Source organism: Homo sapiens, chromosome 14 (genome assembly GCF_000001405.40).
Source record: "Homo sapiens chromosome 14, GRCh38.p14 Primary Assembly".
NCBI classification, from domain to species: domain Eukaryota; kingdom Metazoa; phylum Chordata; class Mammalia; order Primates; family Hominidae; genus Homo; species Homo sapiens.
This window is the reverse complement of record NC_000014.9, coordinates 61,602,060-61,621,961: the sequence shown is the minus strand read 5'-3', so window position 1 is coordinate 61,621,961 and position 19,902 is coordinate 61,602,060. Positions and strand designations below refer to the sequence as shown.

The following is a 19,902-nucleotide window of genomic DNA, read 5'->3' as shown; positions in this document are numbered from 1 at the left end:
GGGCAGAGGAGAGCGATGTTGAGATATTGATTCTCTTGCTCCCACCCTTTCAGGTCTCCATGGGCTGGCTGCATTCCCGTACCAAAGATCTCCATCTCCTGTTAGGTGACATCTACTCTCTTTAGGTTCTGGTCACTGCCGTTGCTGGGTCTGGGTGCTGTGCCATTTTTGTTGACTTCCCTGAACCTCACCCTCACCTTTACAAAGAGTACCTTTACTAAGCTCTCCTAAATTACTTGAGTATGTCATTTGTTTCCTACCTGACTAATCCTGACTAATACACAGAATGAAGACGACTATCATGAGAAGACCCCTCGCCCAGCCAGCCCCAACCAGCACTGGGCACACATCACGAACACTGAGATTTCAGAGTCATTTGTTACCACCACAAATCCTCGCCTATCCTGACTAACGTGCAACGTTTCTAGTGTCTTATAATATAGTTATATTTTAAATCAAGAATTGGTGTCCCAATCAGCATGAAGCTTTAATAAAAATATACCTGCTCTGGTTCTATTCCTGGAGAGTCTAATTCAGTAAGTCTTAGGTGGAACCCATAGTTTCTATTTTTAATAAGCCCCAAACCAGTGGTTTTGAGGATTTCCAATATTTAGAATATTCTTGTATTGGCCTATGTTTTTCAGATATGTTTTATAACTTGCAGGATATGGGGGTATATTAGGGTTCTCCAGAGAAACAGAACCAATAGGGTGTGTGTGTGTATACACACACACACACACACACACACACACAGAGATTTTAAAGAAACACACCCCTTACTTGCTGTGTGAATTTAGACAAGCTCCTTGAAACCTTTGTCTTTGGTTTTCCTAACTATAAATGCTTTCTTTAATGTTCAGATTCAATTTTAAAATGTATATGAAGCAGTTAGTACTTATTACATAGCAGATGTTCAATATGGTTACTATTAAATATATATCTTCAAAAATATTGTGTGTGCAAAGTTGCATTTCAGTTCATAATAATATGAAAAGTGACCAACCACTGTGAAATCTTTTAGATATTTTTTTCTTCAAAGTATTGAGAAATGGTGGTAATGTAACTCATCACTTTCAGACTTTTATCTGACATGCATGCACCAGGAGAGGGTTCCTGGAAGTGAGGCAGAACCAGGGGCTTGGCTAAGTGGGAGGGAGAACAGCTCAGATGTCTTAGCACTCATAAACCTTATGTCTGGGAACAGTTTCAGATTCAGAATAGCTGCATGGCTATATTGGCAAAGTACCCTTCTCTTCTTTAACTAAGTACAAATGACTCATTTCTAACCTTAATGAGAAAAATGAGAAAGGAAGTGTGAGTCCCAGCATTGGCAGGAAAATCTACATACATTGTCTTGTCTTCCACCCTTCAGCAATCAAACCTGGGATGTATTGTTCATACCTAAGCTTCTCCTTGCAGAGCAGAGAAAAATGCTGCTGTTGAACCAGGGATATATCCTATCTAACCCGAGAAAGGGGCAGAGAGCTTAGCAGCAATCTTGTAGCTAACCAGAGCTATCCACAGGCCTCCCTAGATGCTGTTCTTGACCTTTGCTTCACAATTTTAGTTATTTGCAACATTTCTTCCGGGCAGCTACAAATACTTTGAGATCATTAGTCTGTAATTGCCACAAACTACATCTTTGTTAAATTGATGTAATCCCATACTGCTTAAAAGGTGATGGATCCAGAACGGCAGTGTTGAAACTTTTGGAGTAAAATTCCATAGCTTCCTACAGTGCTCTGCTGCACCCGATAAACGTGTCTCCCATTGTGTAATGCTCTCTTTCTCCACACATCCCATTCTGCTTCGTTCTGCTTGTATTACCTAAGTCTTGGGTTATGATATCAAAAGGTTCTGGTGAGAACTATTTTAGATCTTTTGAGTGTCTGGTCGTCTTCTAAACGGATCTACAAAAAGCAGGATTTTTCAGAAAACACTCCCGTTTCATGTCGTGCTATTCTTAAAAGTAAATACACGAAACAATGATCACATGAATTTAGTGTAAGAGATGTCAGCTGGTTGTAAAAATTTCACAACCGTATAATATTCTATTGTATTTTCAGAAAGTAGCAATATATTTTTGAGAGAACTTCCTTCTAGAAGCCTCAAAACTTCATTTGCTTTTATCATTTTCTGGGGTCTTTCTTCTGCTCCTTTGTTTTTTCCACTATCCACTCCTTCAGCAAAGATAATATGGTGCAGAAAAAGGAAACATTGGTGGATGAATTATGAGGACAAAGAAATCAGCAGGACTCAGCTGTCATCACTCTCATGGTCTAACATTTGAACTCCGTTAACTATGGCGGACTCCGGTGAGACACAATAGACTGGAAGTAGGTCATCTTTAAGTCTCTCAAGCTGTATGACTCTAAGAACTCCATGGAGTAGGTAAACAAGGACGTTATCCTCTTCAAATGAGGACATGCCAGGATTATATCAAATACTGTTTCATCCAAGGTTTAGGGCTATCCCTTGGTGGAACATAATTTTATCCTTATTTTGGATAACTGGGTATTTATTGACATTTTAAAAACAAAGACTGTTTTAAACTATGTAAAAAATACAACCGGTTAATTTCTTCTAGAGTTATCTTTTCTGCATTGTTTGTTGTAGTAAAAAACACATAAAATTTACCATCTTAACCATTTTCCATAGTGTTAGGTAAATTCATGTTGTTGTGAACCAAATCTCCAAAACATTTTCATCTTGCAAAACTGAAACTCTATCCTCGTTAAATAACAACGCTCCTTTTCCCCTTCCCCCATCCCCTGGCAACCACCATTCTACTTTTTGTTTTAATGGATTTGTCTACTTTTGATACTTCTTATAAGTGGAATTATCCAGTATTTGTCTTTTTCGTGACTGGCTTATTTCACTTCACATAATTTCCTCAAGGTTCATCCATGCTGTAGCATGTGACAGGATTTCCTTTCTTTTTAAGGCTGAATAATATTTCATTGTCTGTGTACACCACTTTTTTTTCCATTCATCTGATGATGGACTTTTGGGTTGCTTCCACCTCTTGACTATTGGCATAGCCCCATTTTTAAAATATTGCAATTTAATTTAACTCTTACCTTCTCATTCCCTCTGGTGGATTTAATAAATGCAATATCATCTGTAAGGCACGTGTTCCAATAAGGAAGAGAATGTAGCATGAGAAGAGAGTTGAAGGCAGAACCCTAGGGAACCCAGTTCTTTTAAGATGCCAGGAAACTAATAAGAAGGAGGACGATAAGGAAGGATCAGTGGGAAAGAAGAAGCCCCAGGGATAGGAGCGCTTCCAAGAGGAAGAAGACAAAGGTCAGAAAGTACAAGGAGGCCAAGTAAGGTAAGTACAAAAGGGTGTTCACAATAGCAAGCCTGTTCGGATGGTTTGCAGTTTCAGAAGAGGCTAGAAGGCTGATTAAAGTGAATGAGGGAGTGAATGGGAGATGTGAAGGTATAGGACTCTGTCGGAGACCACTCAAGAAGTTTAGATTTGACAAGAGGAAAGAGACTGGGTGGTAACTAGAGAAGGATGTAGTGTTTTTGTTTTGTTATTGTTTCTTAACCTGAGAGAGACTTCAGGATGTTTAAATGCTTCTTTCAGTTTAACTATTGTTACATAAAAAACTACCCCAGCCAGGTGTGGTGGCTCACGCCTGTAGTCCAAGCACTTTGGGAGGCCGAGGCAGGTGGATCACTTGAGGTCAGGAGTTCAAGACCAGCCTGGCCAACATGGTGAGACCCTGTCTTTACTAAAAATATAAAAATTAGCCAGGTGTGGTGAAATGCTCCTGTAATCCTAGCTACTAGCGAGGCTGAGGCACGAGAATCGCTTGAACCTAGGAGGCAGAGGTTGCAGTGAGCCGAGATGGTGCCACTGCACTCCAGCTTGGGCGACAGAGTAAGACTCCGTCTCAAAAGCAAAACAACAAAACAAAAACTATCCCCAAACTGGATGGCTTCAAAGAAAACATTTTATTTTGCCCCATGATTTTGTGGGTCAGGAATTGAAAAAGGGCTTAGCTGGGTGGTTTGGCTTTGATCCATGTGGTGTCAGCAGCAGGGGTTGAGACTGGAGGGTCTGCTTTCCCAATGGCTGCTTCACCTGCACATGGGGTGCCTTGGTGCTCCTTGGCATCTCTCTCCCCTCCCAGGCTTCTTACAGAATGACAGTCTCAGGATAATCACACTCATTCCATGACAACTCACTTCCAAGAGACCTAGGTGGAAGCGGCAAGGTTTTTTTGACCTAAATTTGAAAGCCACAGAATATCACTTCCATGGCTTTCTTTTGGTCATGCAAGTCATTAAGGCCTGCACTGATGGATTCAAAAGGAGTGAAGGAATAGACTCTGTCGCTTGATGAGGGATGACATGAAGCCATAGGGAGGGAGGGAATTAATGGCAGCCATCTTGGAGACAAACAGAGCGAGAGAGATTGAAGTTGCTCAGGTAGCTGAGGTGGCAGGAGTTGATGAGACATTTGAGATTTGAAACCACAGATAGGTAGATTGAAAAATGTGTGGCAAGAGGAGGGAGCTCTTTTTATGATGCTACAACCCTCTATAAACCACATACTTGAAGGTAACCTGAGGACATTTTACAGGATGCAGGAAAATCACAGAGGTCTACCTACTTTCTTCATGCACTTGGCACTCTCTAGGAGGAAATTCAGGGAGTTAGGGGACCATTGCTAAGCCAAAGGGTACTGTGGTGTTCACAGATAAATACACTAAAGGGCCTACCACTGTTATATATTGGTCTTTAACTCTCCCATCTCAAGTACAAGCTGAGGGAATCTCTGCAGTCAAAGGTCTCTCTTGTTATCTTTACCCATCCATCTTTAAAAGTAATCAGTGATTAACACTTCCAATAAAACAATTGTTCTGCCACTTTGAGAGGAAGTGCAGTGAATAGTCCCTGGACTTAACCTAACTACTCCAAACTACTCCATCTTCCAGCTATGTGACCCTGAAGGCCAATTACTTGAGCTGAGCATCAGTCTTCCCATCTGTAAAATAGGCACCAATAACCACGCAATAACCTCAAAGAGTTGTTACAATAATAAAATAATTATCATAAAGTGGCACTTAGTAAGCTCTCAGTAAAGCTAAGGTATTTTTATTCTTAAAACTGTTATATCTTCAAATGAGCTCCTCAGTTTCATCTGTGGGCAGGAGGCAGTTTAGACCCTTAACATCCATAAGCATTTGCTAGACATGCTGGAAATCATCGTGACTCACTCTCCACAAATGAGGCCCTTTGTGCAGGAGTGGAATTTTACCTTGTGTGCTATCCAAACTTTAGAAGCTTCTCCAACGGCTAGCTTACAAGGAGAAAGTCTCTTGGGCACTTAAATAAGATAATGAAGCTCACTGAATCAGAGGGCTAAGAAAGAGACTTTGAGAATCTTTCTAGTTTGCTCCTACCTACACCATCCACACGTGAGAATCTGCCTTTCTGCAAACAGCCCATGGATCTTACAATTCCATCTCCAGTTACCTTCTCTCCCAGTCAGCCCTGCCCTCCCTCCACCCAGCCAGGCTCCTGGAGCCCAGGCTGGCCGAAGTCAGAGCCCTGGGCCTCCTTCTTGCCTGGGAGCCAAGTTGGAACAATGGCGTTTATCAGTCTTGTGCTGTATTTTAAAATGAGCTATGATAACAGAGCACTTTGACTAGCATTTTTATAAATACCATAAAAAAAATCTTTCTTGGGCCAGTTTCAAGAATGTGGGGCACTGGGTCAGTGAACAATGATGCAGAACGGACTTGATCTCTTTGTTTGGGCAGCCGGATACCCATGGCTAGTTGTAACCACCTTACTGGTTTCTCAACATTCCCCTTGCTCTTCACAATATTCGGCTTTCTGCAGAGAGGGTCATTTCTACATATGACACTCTGAGCACTCCCATATCCCACCATAATACTCTGGACTCCAGGCTAAATAGAGCCTGGCCTCGAAGTTTCACCTGTGGCCTGCTCTAACCTCCTGCCCTTGATGTGAAAGTACAAGCGGATCCTGGATGTCCTCCCTCCAGCCTGTGCAGGAGATCTCTTCCTTGCCTACATGCTGGGAAGCATTTCCTGACCGATGCTTCATTCTCACACTCTCCACTCCCCACAGCACCTGGCCGCCCTTTTCCAGCTAATTCACTCTCATAATAACTGAGTTCCCGTGTACCCTTTACGGATTTTAACAGTGGAGTTCTATGTAGGCTTAGAGTTTTCTGATTTTTTTTTTTCTCGCTGAAAAAAGAAATGAAGGAACCCTGATTCTAGCTCTTAATCCAAAATGATTCTACTTAGGCTATCAGGAAAGGAAAGTGAAATGATGGTGGGGAGTCAGTGGTGAGGTGGGGAGAAGTGTGTAGGTGACTCTGGTAGCGGCAATGAAGTCGTGGGGGACTCCACAATCAACACATTGATGATAGGTGTTTGTCTCGGGGCCAGAAGCATCTTAGGGGCTGGGTCCATATCTGTTTTTTAAATTATTATTTTATTATACTTGTACATACCAAATAACTGAGGTAAAAAACTAGAGGTCGAAGTTCCTATTTGATCAGTCATCCTAACAGAGAAACTGCTTGTATTTGTCTTACTTTGGGTTCCTTCGGGTTCACGGTGTTTTTCAACAGTTTTTTAAAAAAGCATTATTTCCCCTCCTAAGGACCCTTGGTAGATATTTTTTCCTAAATGGACCCCCCGTGAATTTTTAATCCCTCAGATATACTGTGAATTTGTATAATGTATGCATATCTGTGCTTTATACATTAAAAGAGCAATATTGTTTTGTCGCCTATGTAAGCGGTCCCCAATCTTTTTAGCACCAGGGAGTGGTTTCATGGAAGACAATTTTTCCATAGACCATGGGGGGATGGTTTCGGCATGAAACTGTCTACATCAGATCATCAGGCATCAGTTAGATTCTTATAAGGAGCGTGCAACCTAAATCCCTCTCATGCGCGATTCACAGTAGGTTTCGCCCTCCTATGAGAATCGAATGCCGCTGTGGATCTGACAGGGCGGAGCTCAGGAGGTAATGCTTGCTCGCCTGCCGCTCACCTCCAGCTGTGCGGCCCAGTCCCTAACAGGCCACGGACTGTACTGCTCCTTGGCCTGAGGGTTGGGAACCCCTGCCCTATGTAACCAACTTCAGCCCCTTGGCGGCTATATCACCTCTGTGGAGATTATGTGGCCCAGAACCAAACCAAGACAAGGCAAATAGTTTATGAAGAAAATGCTGGAAGGGGAGTGGGAAAGTGAGACAGGGACAGAAAGGAAGCCAAGATAGAGGAAGTTGAGCAGGTTGCCACTGCAGGCAGCTGGAGTCCAGTCTCGCTGGGGTTCATGGAACCAGGATGAAACACCCACCTCCAGGACACCTTACCTAAGGGGCCAGGTATATACCCAGAAATTCCCATCCGTCATTGGGTGAGGGTTGCTCCCAGGGGAAGAGGCATTCTCCGGCCATTTTATTTTGTCCATGCTTGGGCAGAATGGGCCATAGAGGACAGAGAAAGCCCTCAGGCAGGGTCATGGGGGCTGGCAGCAGCCTGAGCTGTTAACTCAGGGCACAAACAACGATAAGTGCTGGAGATGTGGTGGGGGGCACTGATGCTGCGCTATTTTTAATGTTTCCTTCTATTGCATGGTCCCACGATATGCTGTTTTTACATAGCTATAATCATAACTATTAGAGATAGGATTTTGTACTGTACTTTTTTCACTTGAAGCATTTTTTCAGGTTGATCCAGTTTTCATAATTATAAGTTTTAAAGGCTGCATAATTTCACCTCATGTGCATATACCATAATTCCCATAACTATTTCTCCATTGCTAAACATTTTGTTTATTTCCATTTTTCCTGCTGTTATAAATAAATTGCTAGGGGAAAAAAAAAAACCCTGGAAGGCACAAATTAAAACACAGCAAATTGTCTTAAGTGATAGAATTATAGGTATTTTTAAAATTCTGTCTACTTTCCTATAATTGCTTTTAAAACAGGAAAAATAACAGTTTTATGCACTAATTTGGTTAGCCTAAATAGCACCCAGTTGTTCAATCAAACACTAATCTAGATGTTGCTGTGAAGGTATTTTATAGTTGTGATTAATGCCTACAATCAGTTAACTTTATGTAAAAGAGATTATCCTTGATAATATGGGTGGGTTTGATCTAATCAGTTGAAAGGCCTTAAGAGCAGAACTGAGGTTTACTTGAAGGAGAAGAAATTCTGCCTTTGACTATAGCCTCAGATCTAACCTGAGCTTCCAGCCTGTCCTTCCTGATGATCTGCTCTATGAATTTTGGGCTTACCTAGCCATCTCCCACAATCACATAAGCCAATTCTTTGCAGTAAATCTTTTTTTAATATATTATCTGGCAGAACACTTAATGATTCAATAAGTTCTCACTGCTCTCCGTCAAGATACTGCAAAAAACGTCTTAAAGCATAGAGATGTTTTTTCTTATTTTGCATTTTTTTTCTTTCCAGGATTGAGACTTCTGGAAGTGGCATGAACATATTTAATTAACATGTACATTCTTTATTATAAACCCCAAACAGTTGGTATAGGGAACCCAGAGCCAAATTAAAGAGTGAGCCAGATGGGGATGTAATGAGGTATCAGTCTAAAATGGGTCTTGAAACATCTCTGAAAATATAAGAAGATAGAGAAAACTGAGTTCAACAGGAGCCCTCTCAGAGAGAGTACTGTTTGTGATTATAAGGATAATTTAGCAAATTCCTTGGGCTGGGGCAACAAGACTTCCAAAGAGAATACTTAAAAAAAAAAAAAAGTTTCTGACTGGGTGTGGTGGCTCATGCCTGTATTCCCAGCACTCTGGGAGGCCAAGGCGGGCGGATCACCAGAGGTCAGGAGTTCGAGACCAGCCTGACCAACATGGTGAAACCCTGTCTGTGCTAAAAATACAAAAATTAGCCGGGTGTGGTGGCATACTCCTGTAATCCCAGTCACTTGGGAGGCTGAGGCAGGAGAATTGCTTGAACCCAGGAGGTGGAGGTTGTAGTGAGCCGAGATTGTGCCACTACACTCCAGCCTGGGCAACAAAGTAAGACTCTATCTAAAAAAAAAAAAAAGGGTTTCTAAACTCCCCTCTAAAAGTGGTGAATCCAATTAACTATAGGAGCTTTTTCTTCGTTGGACTGTTCCAGTTTGGGACCAGAGCTGAACTGCAAGGGACAACCAAGGAGAGGCAAACCTCTACTACAATGGTCAGTTTATCCCCATGAAGCCCTTTGCCTCGCCTCTAAGAAAAATTTTAAAAAATATTTAAACAAATGTCTGTTGAATGAAGCGTCAAAACAGTAATCTAGTTGGGTTGCCCACTTATCTAGGCCATCCCTATGGACCTCAAATTGATATCTGAATTAAATTTATTAACCACATGCAGTGTATGTTTACTGTCTTGAAACAGTAAGGGGCAAATCTTATGACATTTTTAGAGTTTGGAGTAGAGACAGTTTGCATAATGGTGGGAATATGAGATGCCTAAATCCCAGAAGATCCCATAAATGGTGTGGGGTTTCAAGAGCTGTTTTCCAATTATTCAAAGAATGTATTTTGAGTACCAGGCATTATACCAAGTGCTATGGGTACAAAAGTGAGAGAGACAGTATGGACGGTCCTGACAGAGACTGGGGGAAAGTCAGCAGTAATTGCATAGTGATTACATGTATAATTACCTAATTGTAAGCACAGTAAAGGAAACATATATGCTGCTATGAGGACATACAATACAATGAATAGACTTACACATGTCAGAATGGTAGAAGCAGCTTTGCAGAAGCAGGAGATGTTTGGTGGGACTGATGATGAAGCTGCCTTTCCTAAGCTGTATGTGAGTCCCTGAATTAGGTTGGGCATGTGTTTGTGAGCGTGTGAGTAAGTGTGTGTGTGTGGAGGGGGTGGGAGGGAAGAGCAGATAGGAGATAGGCTGAAGAAGTTAGTGCCTGTGGCTATTCATCTTGGTATTTAGAAAGACCATCTAATCATCTCTTAGCAAAACAGCAGAAGGAAGACACAGCAAATACACTAAAAATATGAGTAGCTTTCCAGTGCCTCAAATGGTCCTGGGTCCTGAGTAGGTGCTTACTGAAGACTAAGTGAGGGAAAAATTGCCCAGGTGCTGCAGTATGTGCCAGGCACTATAATACAGTGCTTTACACAAACTTGATCTTCCCATGATGAAGTCATTATCCCAATAGAAATATGGGGAAGCCCCAGTCTAGAGATTTTGAAAAGCTAGCTCCAAGTTATAGAACCTAACATAAAAGCTAGATGTTTGCTAGAGCTACAGTGGAAATAAGAATGCAATCAGACTGGGTGCAGTGGCTCACGCCTGTAATCCCGGCACTTTGGGAGGCTCAGGTGGGGGGATTGCTTGAGGCCAGGAGTTCGAGACCAGCACGGATCACTTGAAGCCAGGAGTTTGAGACCAGCCTGGCCAACACAGTGAAACCCTGTCTCTACCAAAAAAATACAAAAATTAGCTGGGCGTGGTGATGCACCCCTGTAGTCCCAGCTACTTGGGAGGCTGAGGCAGGACAATGAATCACTTGAACCTGGGAGGTGGAGGCTGCAGTGAGCCGAGATCATACCACTACACCCCAGCCTGGGCAACAGAGTGAGAATCTGTCTCAAAACAAAAACAAAAACAAAACACAGAGATCCTCTGGTTTTTGTCTTGCTGGATCTACTAAGATCTGGCCAGGGTGGTCATGACAGGTTAGTATGAGATATGCTTTGACAAGTTAGAAGATATCGCTGACATTTCCAGTAAGGCTGCTGTGCTACATGTTATAGTGCTTTTGTTTGTCTGTGGTACACAATTATCTTGGGTTTCAGAATTCATCCTCAAAGTATTCCTCTGAATTAGGAATTCCAGTAAGAGTTACTGGCCGCAAATGACAGACACTGACTCTGGTTAACTTCAGCAGAGAAATTCACTAGAAGGATATCTGGGAGCCCAAATAATCAATGTCAAGCCCAGAGAATCAGGCTTGACAAACAGAAACCAGGGTGGCTTGGTTACAAACTAACAGCCAAAATCACAGTAAAGGAAGGGTCTGGTTAAACATCGCTGCTGCTGAACACCATACAGCACTCCTGGCACCATCGCCAGTCCCAGGAGAAAGGATTCCAAGATATCCTTGCACCTTCGAGTCACCTACTCCAGATTCAAAATTCCAGGTGGAATTCTGTCAATAGGAGCCCTCTCTGAGAGAATGAATCACTTGAACCTGGGAGACGGAGGCTGCAGTGAGCCAAGATCATACCACGACACCCCAGCCTGGGCAACAGAGTGAGACTCTGTCTCAAAACAAAAACAGAAACAAAACAAAGAGATCTATTAAACATCGGATCCGTTAAACATCATGTGGCCTGGTGGGCCACATTTAGGTCACCTGCAGGTGCTCTAGCTGTTCCTGCTTCCCAAGTAGTAGGCACAGCTGGGAGTAGGGTAAGGCATAAAATGGAAAGAGGCACTCACTCTCACGGACTTCTGTTTTTAAACAATGAACAATTTTTATAAAGAATAAATTTCAATTTTAAAGATATTCAAATTCAGTAAATATTTCATATATGAACTTAAAATTTACACACAACCAACAAAAATGTGACACCATGCAGTTTGCAATCTGTTTCATTGTTTTAAATTTTAGATACAAATTAAAAACTCCTTATGGTCAAATAGGATGGAAATAATTCACATTTTGTTTCTTCGTCTAGAAGAAGCAACAGTCCAGCTGTTAAAGCGTAGGCCATAGCATTGCTATGTTATTATTGCTTATTTCGAAACTGTTTACATGCAGGAATGTGTAGCATCCCACAGGCTGGAAATAAAAAATGTGCTGAAGGGAGCTTGGATGAATCCCACCTGTCTCAAACTTACTTTGCAAAGGAATGTCTGTGACGGGGTCCACCTATGTCAGCGGCAACAGCAACTTTAGTAATTGTTTAGAGCTTGCAAGGAAGAGTGTTTTATCAGTGACACTGTTTAAAAATTGTCAGCATTTGATGATAATAAGCAGCAGACTGACTTGGAGTCAGTTTTATTATTGTCTTTAAATTCTCACCCCATTACTGCCTGCACTTGCTCTCTCTCACCTCCCTGCCCATTATACACCACTGTGGGTGGACCATTACAGGGGAAGCTGGTGATACACATTAACTCCAGGAACACTGTACTGGAGACACAGCAGAGGGAAGGACACGTGGTATTATCTATCCAAAAGATCAACAAAGATGAAAACAGACAGCTTCCTACTAGGGAAGTCTTAGTGTGGCTCATTGTTATGCCAATGCCCTGTGTTCAGGATCCAGCAGGAAGGTTGTGAGCCCAGGGCCCTGTGGCCCAGTTAATTGTCCGCGGCTCAGCCCTGGCCAGCTGCCTCGGAAATGAATGCCTTTGGCCATACTGGCAAGACAGACAGGAGAGTCATCAGTTTAGATCACATTCATTGCTCTTGTGAGAAAGACAAGAAAAAATACACAGTCTGCCCATGATGTGTCCTCATCTCGTGAAAGATAGGACACTACTGAGTAAAATCAGATTCCCATCCGAAAAGCACATCTTCCGCTAATTAGGCACATTAGCTTTGTGCAAGGTCGGGTGTAAAATAACTTTCATTTCACTCGTTTCAGAAGACAGGGCAGATGAGGGCAAGAGGATATGCCCCACATAACAAGAGCTATTGTTCGGTTTTTCAGGAAGCCATGGCCTGAACAAGGCATTGGGGTTTTCACAGCTGGACTCACCCCAAAAAGATGATTTTATAAATAGTGTTTTTGTTTTTTACCTTTTCAACTTCATTAGAAAATACAAGGTTTACCTAACCCTAACCCCCAGACGAATAGACATAATGAATTCCCAGACATATAGACTTGGCAGTGACTGCTTCACCCCTGAATGGTTGCTTTGCACTAAGCACTTCTGACACTAATGTTCATGCTTAAGCAAACACATTACTAGGAGAGAAGAATAGCTCTGTCAGCCTGCCCAGGCCACTCAGCACAATGGGAGCTGCAGCTGCCCTGGATCTCATTAAAACAGGGGCAGGGAGAACGGTCCTGTAGACGCACATGGGGATTCTCAGATTCACAGACCTTTGCTTACACATCACACACCATCAGCATCAAACAGCTGACTTCAAGAAGTTCCTAAGAAAGAAAGCTTTACTGGTTATTAATAAGCCTGAAATATTTGTGTCTCTGGATTCTCTGCCAGTCTTCTTTTTCTCTTTGGTTCTTTTCTCTTTACATGACAATACTCACATTTGCAAAATGAGGTGTGTTAGAGAATCAGATGATTTCTAGAGAGAGCTATGTTTGGGACCATTTCTTAATCTTTTCCACCTTTGGAGTGTCTGTGTTCACGTTAGCATTTCTGTCTGGAGTTATGAATTATGCTGTCAAAAGGAGTTTCAAACTGGGTTTGTTACCTGGATACCCACAAATATGCACGGTCTGTTTGTATAAATCTGAAAAACCTTCCTTGTCCTTAGGAAACCAGGCCATTCTGCACATTAGGAAGGGGACAGTGAATCCAGGCTTCCGTTAGTTCTCTGGGCCAGTTGGGGAACAGTGCCTGGATAAATAACAGTAGGAGTCCAGAGTCCGTTCTTGACTGGGGTGGCTGTAATCCATTCACAGGGAGGGAGACGTCTCTGGCTGGAGATGCAGGGCTGAGCATGCCATCAGACACCCCTAAAGGCAAGCTTAAGACCACATCCCATCTGCCTACAATCATAGCAGTCACTATCCCCTCCACATGGTACACAATATGCCTCAGAACAGTCCAGCTCTTAAAGCACAGGCCAGAGGCAGGGACCAAAGGAGGCAAGAGCAATGAAGACACTGGAGGGATGACGGGGTTCTGTGGCTCGACTCCTGGACCATCTGCACCCAGAGTCCACCAGATCTGCCAGGAGAAGGCTCAGCAGTGCTTCTCTCATCGGAACAGACTCAAGCATTGGCATCTGACAATGTCCCCCATATGTCATTCTCACTCTTTTCATAGCCCACCTCCCCCCAACCCACAGCCCAACCTGGAGAAGCCCACTGTGAGTCTGGATGGTCACATCAAGCTTAGGACCCCTGGTGGCACTACGCACAGCAGCATCCTCATGAAGAAAAAGCCCCCCAGTGGCTTCCTGTCTCTCCAGACACGCTCCCCAGACGGCAGTTGTCAGTTTCCATCACCCAAACCCCTTCAGGCCAGGCCCACTAAGATTGGCTCACAAAAAAAGGGAGGGGAGAGAGGCAGCTGCTGCTGACAGGGCCAGCTGCTTCAGAGTCATTTCCTTGCTGCCGGTGCTGGGCAGATGTTCTACTGCCATTTCCCTTGCTACTAACTTCTGATCACTCTCCTGGTAGCTTGATTTTACCTAGTTGAAGGTGTCTCCAAGTGCAGCCTGTGGTCCACTTATAGGAGAATCACCTGGGATGCATGTTTAAAGTGCAGGTTCAGAATCTCTGTGTGTGGGACCCTCAAATTTGTTCTTTTAACAGATACCTCAGATGATTCTCATGCACATAAACATTTCAGAGACACTGAAGTTCTGTGACCACTGGCTCTATGTATTTACATTTTATTTAATTTGGACCTCAGGAGAATAGAGTAAATTACTCACTTCACGTACCACGGCCATCATCAATATGCTTTGGTGACCCGTCCACGCTGCTATATGTAAATCTCCTTTCCCGCTTCTGGCTTGAATAGTGGCCCATCTTGTATTTGTTTATGTTTAACTAAACCATTGCTTTATTAACAAACATCAGTCCTTGTTTACATACATACATACACACACACACACACACACACACACACGCACCATGATGGACAGCTTTACATGTATTCTTATGATCTGCACATCAGTGTTTTCTTGGGCACATACTCAGGGCCAAGAATGCATCCTTGATTTCTCTAGGGACTCCTAGATTGCTCTGCAGGATGGCTGCATTTATTTCCACCCCTCTAGCAGTGTCTTTGTTATACTTGATTTTATCCGACTTTCTCTAAAGTGATCTCTCATTGATGTTTTAATTTGTATTTCTCTGATTGCTAGTAATGTTTAGCATCTTTGTATACACTTATTGGCCATTAAGAGGTTTCCTCTTGTATATTTTGCCTGTTTTCCCTTTTTATTACTGTTTCGCAGGATTTCCTAGATCTACATTCTTTGGTTTGGGATGTCAGTAACATCTTCTTCCAGTTTACCTGTTGACTTTGTCTGTAGTATTTGTTGGAATAAATCTTTAATTTTGTTTTGTAGACAAATCCGTATTTTTTTCTCCTCCTTATGGTTTGTACTTTCGGGTTTTTCTTTAGAAATGCCTCCACTCAAAAGTCACAGAGATATTCACGCATATTATTTCCTATCACTATAAACTGTTATATTAAACGTTTGGGCATTTAATCCATTGGGGTTTCTTTTTAAATTGTCTGAGGTGGGGCTGAATGGAGGCAATTTTCCCATCACCATGTACTACTTAATCTATTGCTTCTGTAGTGATTTGTGATGCCCCCTCTATCATATAACATGTTCTCCTCTATAGCTGGGTCTAATTCTGGGTTCTGTATTCTGTTCTCCTGGTCAACTTGACTTTTTTCCCCTTTTCTTAATCATGGCTTTGTGATGTGCCTTAATATCTAGCAAGGCAAATTTCCTTTTTGCCTACACTTAAAAAATTAGCTGTCTGTGGATATTTATTCTTCATATGAATTTTAAAATTGTTTTTCAAAGTCCTAAAAACTTGGGGTGGGCATTTTACTTGAATTGCATTGGATCTACAGCTTCAGTTTGGGAAGAACTGATATTCTTAAAATGTTAAATTGTTCCACACAATCAGCATATCACTCCATTTATTCAAGTCTTTGCTTATATCTATTATTGGAATTAAAATTTTCTCCAAAAAGTCTTGTGCATTATTGTCAGATTATTTCCTAGATTTAAATTTTTCCTTTCCCATCTTTTTCTGGATCTATCTATTGATGACTATTTGCTTGGACCTTTCCTCCGCCCCAGTCTTGTTTTCCCTTGAGTTCTGATACCCTCTTGGGTTCTCTTTGCTTTCCTGGCTTCAGCCCTCACTACTCTGTCTCTACAGTTCTGCCTCCTCATCCCATTCCCTTGATCTGCAACTGCCTGGTCACTAGGTGTGACCATTTAGATCTTCATTGTTCGGAGTGCTTCAGAGATGTCACCTAAAGCCATATCTGACATGTAGCCTGGGACGTTAATGAGGCTTACGTCTGAGCATAGACTATAACTTAAATGGAAGTAAAAACAGAACTAATGATCTGTGGCCCAGCTTTAGGTCATAAAATGCATGCAAAATTGGATTTGTTCCAAAGGGTATCAGAAAAAAATGGCTCCTGGCAATATAAAGCTCAAATAATAGTAGCATAGATGATAAAGGCATGCATGATGTCACATAACAAGAAAGCTGGGGTATAGTTCCAGGGTTGGTACAGGAGCTCAATGAGATCATTTTGGCATTTCTTCAGGTCTTTCCCTTATGGTTGCAAGTTGGCTACTGTAGCTCCAAACATAACATCTTCATTCTGCCACATTTTAAAAGTGAGGGGTTGAGGGCAGAGAAGACTGAAGAGAGCTCTACTTATATTCTTGATGGAAATCAAGGACAAAATCACCCCCCTCAACTTTTCTTTCTAGCTCATTAGATGGAACAACATGGCATAACTACTCTGATCTATTGTTGGTGTTGGGAACAGGATTGCTTGTTCATGGCAAATTCATGATTTATAAAGTCCCTGGGCTGGACATTTTGTCAACCAAACAAAATCAATCTTCTGATAGGAAAGAACACAGGCAGAATGGTGTTGGGAAGAAAACTAAGGTTCCTGGTATGGATGGGAAAATATTTAAGGCAAGATCATCTGTGTTCTGAAATATCAGGGCCCTGAAGTTAGGAGTTTCTCATTTATTTATTTAGCAGTATTGATTGATCTAGGCACTGGGAACACAATAATGAACAAAACTGGACAGGATTCCTAGTACCACTAAGATTGCAATGCTGTATGGCAGAAAATATCAAATTAATGTTCTCATACAAAAAAATAAAGTTACTAATTTAGTAAAGTGTTATAAAGGACAACAACAGGATATTAGGGAAGTATATGATGAGGGTAACTGTCCTGAAGCAGTATGAGTTCTTTCACATCCCTGGAAGGTGCTGAGAAGGTTGATGGTCCAGCAGAAGCCTGAAGCTGCCATGAAAAAGGAGAGTGTTTATGGGACTAGGGGCAAGTGGCCGGGGCTCTGGAATCTAGCAGCATCTGTCCATTGAGCTCAAACAGACCAATGGGACCAAGTACACATCCCTGCCTCCCAGGCCAAGGAGCAGAATTGTCCAGTTACTCCACAGCAGAGATGAGAAAGGCTCCAGAGGACACTGGATGGGTTTAAGGATCCCATCTCTCCTCTGCTGCCACAGGGTCACTGACCCATAGACCTTCCCTCAAACTCCCAGATACCATCTTGGAGGAAAGAAGCAAAGGCCATCTTGAAGACTTAACATTTTCCCCCAGAGATTTTATATCCCTATAGAAATATTAAAAGTATTATATCAGTATGAAATGAGTAGATTGGACAAAAATTAAGGTTGTTTCTGTACTACTCAGCAGATGGAGTTCATGAGGAAAACTAGAGGAAAAAATGCATTTTTATATCAACTGAATGTTGTATGAACATATTTGAATTCTTCACAACAACCTTATGAGGAAAGTACTATATTGACTCTGTAAAAAGATAAACTTAGGCACATTAAAATATTAAAGAGTTAATGTGATCAGACAGGGCTCACAAATTGAGCAGCTGCAAGCCACAAGTTATTTGGGGCTCCACTGAAGAGCATAAAGGGAAGGCCTTTTTATAGGGAGAATGCAGAAGCAAGGCAAAGAAAATATTTGGTTAAAATGAAGCAATAGCCTTATTTAGATCATTCCAGTGAAAAGTCCCTAGTGAGAGGTTAGTTGGTGGTTTTTGATTGGCTAATCTTAGGTTTCATTTTACGTTTTACACTGAGCTGGATTTCAGTCTGCTTACCTAGGAACTCAAGGCGCTGAATTATTTTAACAACTCCATTTTTTTTTGTTTTGTTTTTGAGTCAGTGTCTCACTCTGTCACCTAGGCTGGAGTGCAATGGCGTAATCTCGGCTCACTGCAACCTCTGCCTCCCAGGTTCAAGTGATTCTCCTGCCTCAGCCTCCTGAGTAGCTGGGATTACAGGCTCGTGCCACCACACCCAGCTAATTTTTGTATTTTTAGTAGAGATGGGATTTCACCATGTTGGCCAGGCTGGTCTCAAACTCCTGACCTTGTGATCCGCCCACCTCAGCAGTAATCCCAAACTGCTGGGATTACAGGCGTGAGCCATCACACCCAGCCAACAACTCCATTTTATAGACAAGGAAATTGAGGCTCAGAGAAGATAAGTAACTTATCTAAGGTCACAAAGGTGGCTGGTCTTGAATTTTAACCCAATGTGACTTTAAAACCTCCATGCTTTTGGCCACTGCAAGATACTACTTTCTGCAGTGGTACATGCAATAAGAAGTATAGATACATTTTCAGGATAATATGAAGAAGGAAAAGATGATTTCTAGAAAGGGAGAACCAAATAAAGCTCCTCAAGAGGAGGTAACAATTGATTTTATCTTTCCACCAATGTTGTTCATCTTTTCCTCTTTAACATACAGTGGTAGGCAATTGTCGGTCCTTGTCAACTAACTTGAACATCTGGATCACCCGTTTGTTTCTACTGTCTTCTTTCTCTTGGTTTTTCAGTTATGTGAGCCTGTCTTTTGTTGTACCTCATACATTCTAATGGCAGGTCAGACATTATCTACACAAAGTTGTAGAGACTTCAGATGATAGCTTTTTTCAGAGAGAGAGTACCCTCCCCCTGCTATACACAGACTGGTGGCTGATCATGTTAATCCAATTAGTGATTTGCTGAGTCAAGGTTGAATTATAGCTCTCGTAAGTCTCAGCCCTCCACAGGTTCATCTCTGACCTCCTAGATTTTCAACAAAGGCCCTATTGTATTCTGCAAGAACCCTCCCCCAGCCAGTAGTAAACCCTAATCTTAGTCTTACAAGAATGCTGAAAAACTGCACTCTGCTTTTTAGAGGCAGGTTTTCCATTTGCATTTTAGAATCCCTGCTCTGAAGAAATTCAGTGTGCAGCAAAAGTCCTCAGGTGAAAACAGGCTGTCTTGTTTGAGGCCCTTTCAAATCTTCCACTAAAACTCTTATTTTCTCTATCCCGAGCAGTCTTTTGCCAGCCTTTGCACTGCATTTTGCAATGGGTTCTCAGCCTCCTGCAAAATGCCCCGCTGGTAAAAGCGGCTGCAGAAGCCAGCTCACTCTCCTCACGTTTCTCTCTCCAGTGCATTAGCCCTTCCAGTGTTCCTTGCCTCAGCAGCTATCACTTTCCCTCAAATAGGTAATTTCTGCATTGTATTTGGCTTTTCTAATTATTCTAGTTGAGGGTGCTGGTCTGCTGACAGCAACTTCATTTACCCAGAAGAGGAAGTAATTATAACCGGAAGGGTAGAGGGATAGGAATACGTCAAGTGACCTGCTCTAAGAAGCACCAGTGATCTCCCCGTCACCAAATCCAGTGGTGTTCTTATCCGTAACCTCCCTGATCTTTCTGTATTATCTGGTTTCTCTTCAGAGGCTCTGCATTCTTCATCGTTCTCGTTCTTTCTTCCAGTACTTTGCCTCTAGTTTCTCCTCTAGCTCCTCTTTCATGCGATCGTTATTGGTGTAACTTGAGACTCAGTGTCCATCACTCTTCTTCTACACATCCTTCCTTGCAAATCTCCAGTCGCTAGGCTTTGGCAGCCTCCCTGTGTGG

The 19,902-nt window shown here is 42.3% G+C and overlaps 1 long non-coding RNA gene across 1 annotated transcript in view, besides 3 other annotated features; it reads right to left on the bottom strand.

Annotated features, from left to right (window-relative positions):
* The window catches only part of LINC03033 (long intergenic non-protein coding RNA 3033), an 84,174-nt gene that overhangs the window by 32,752 nt on the left and 31,520 nt on the right, over positions 1-19,902 (bottom strand). The window lies entirely within an intron of this gene.
* Positions 12,027-12,638: an enhancer, noted in NCBI's record as "OCT4-NANOG hESC enhancer chr14:62076042-62076653 (GRCh37/hg19 assembly coordinates)". NCBI's record gives its function as "activates a minimal SCP1, AML or CMV promoter by ChIP-STARR-seq in naive H9 embryonic stem cells {active_cell/tissue: H9 hESC(naive)}" and the evidence as "EXISTENCE:reporter gene assay evidence [ECO:0000049][PMID:30033119]".
* Positions 13,087-13,836: an enhancer, noted in NCBI's record as "H3K4me1 hESC enhancer chr14:62074844-62075593 (GRCh37/hg19 assembly coordinates)". NCBI's record gives its function as "activates a minimal SCP1, AML or CMV promoter by ChIP-STARR-seq in naive H9 embryonic stem cells {active_cell/tissue: H9 hESC(naive)}" and the evidence as "EXISTENCE:reporter gene assay evidence [ECO:0000049][PMID:30033119]".
* Positions 13,837-14,587: an enhancer, noted in NCBI's record as "H3K4me1 hESC enhancer chr14:62074093-62074843 (GRCh37/hg19 assembly coordinates)". NCBI's record gives its function as "activates a minimal SCP1, AML or CMV promoter by ChIP-STARR-seq in naive H9 embryonic stem cells {active_cell/tissue: H9 hESC(naive)}" and the evidence as "EXISTENCE:reporter gene assay evidence [ECO:0000049][PMID:30033119]".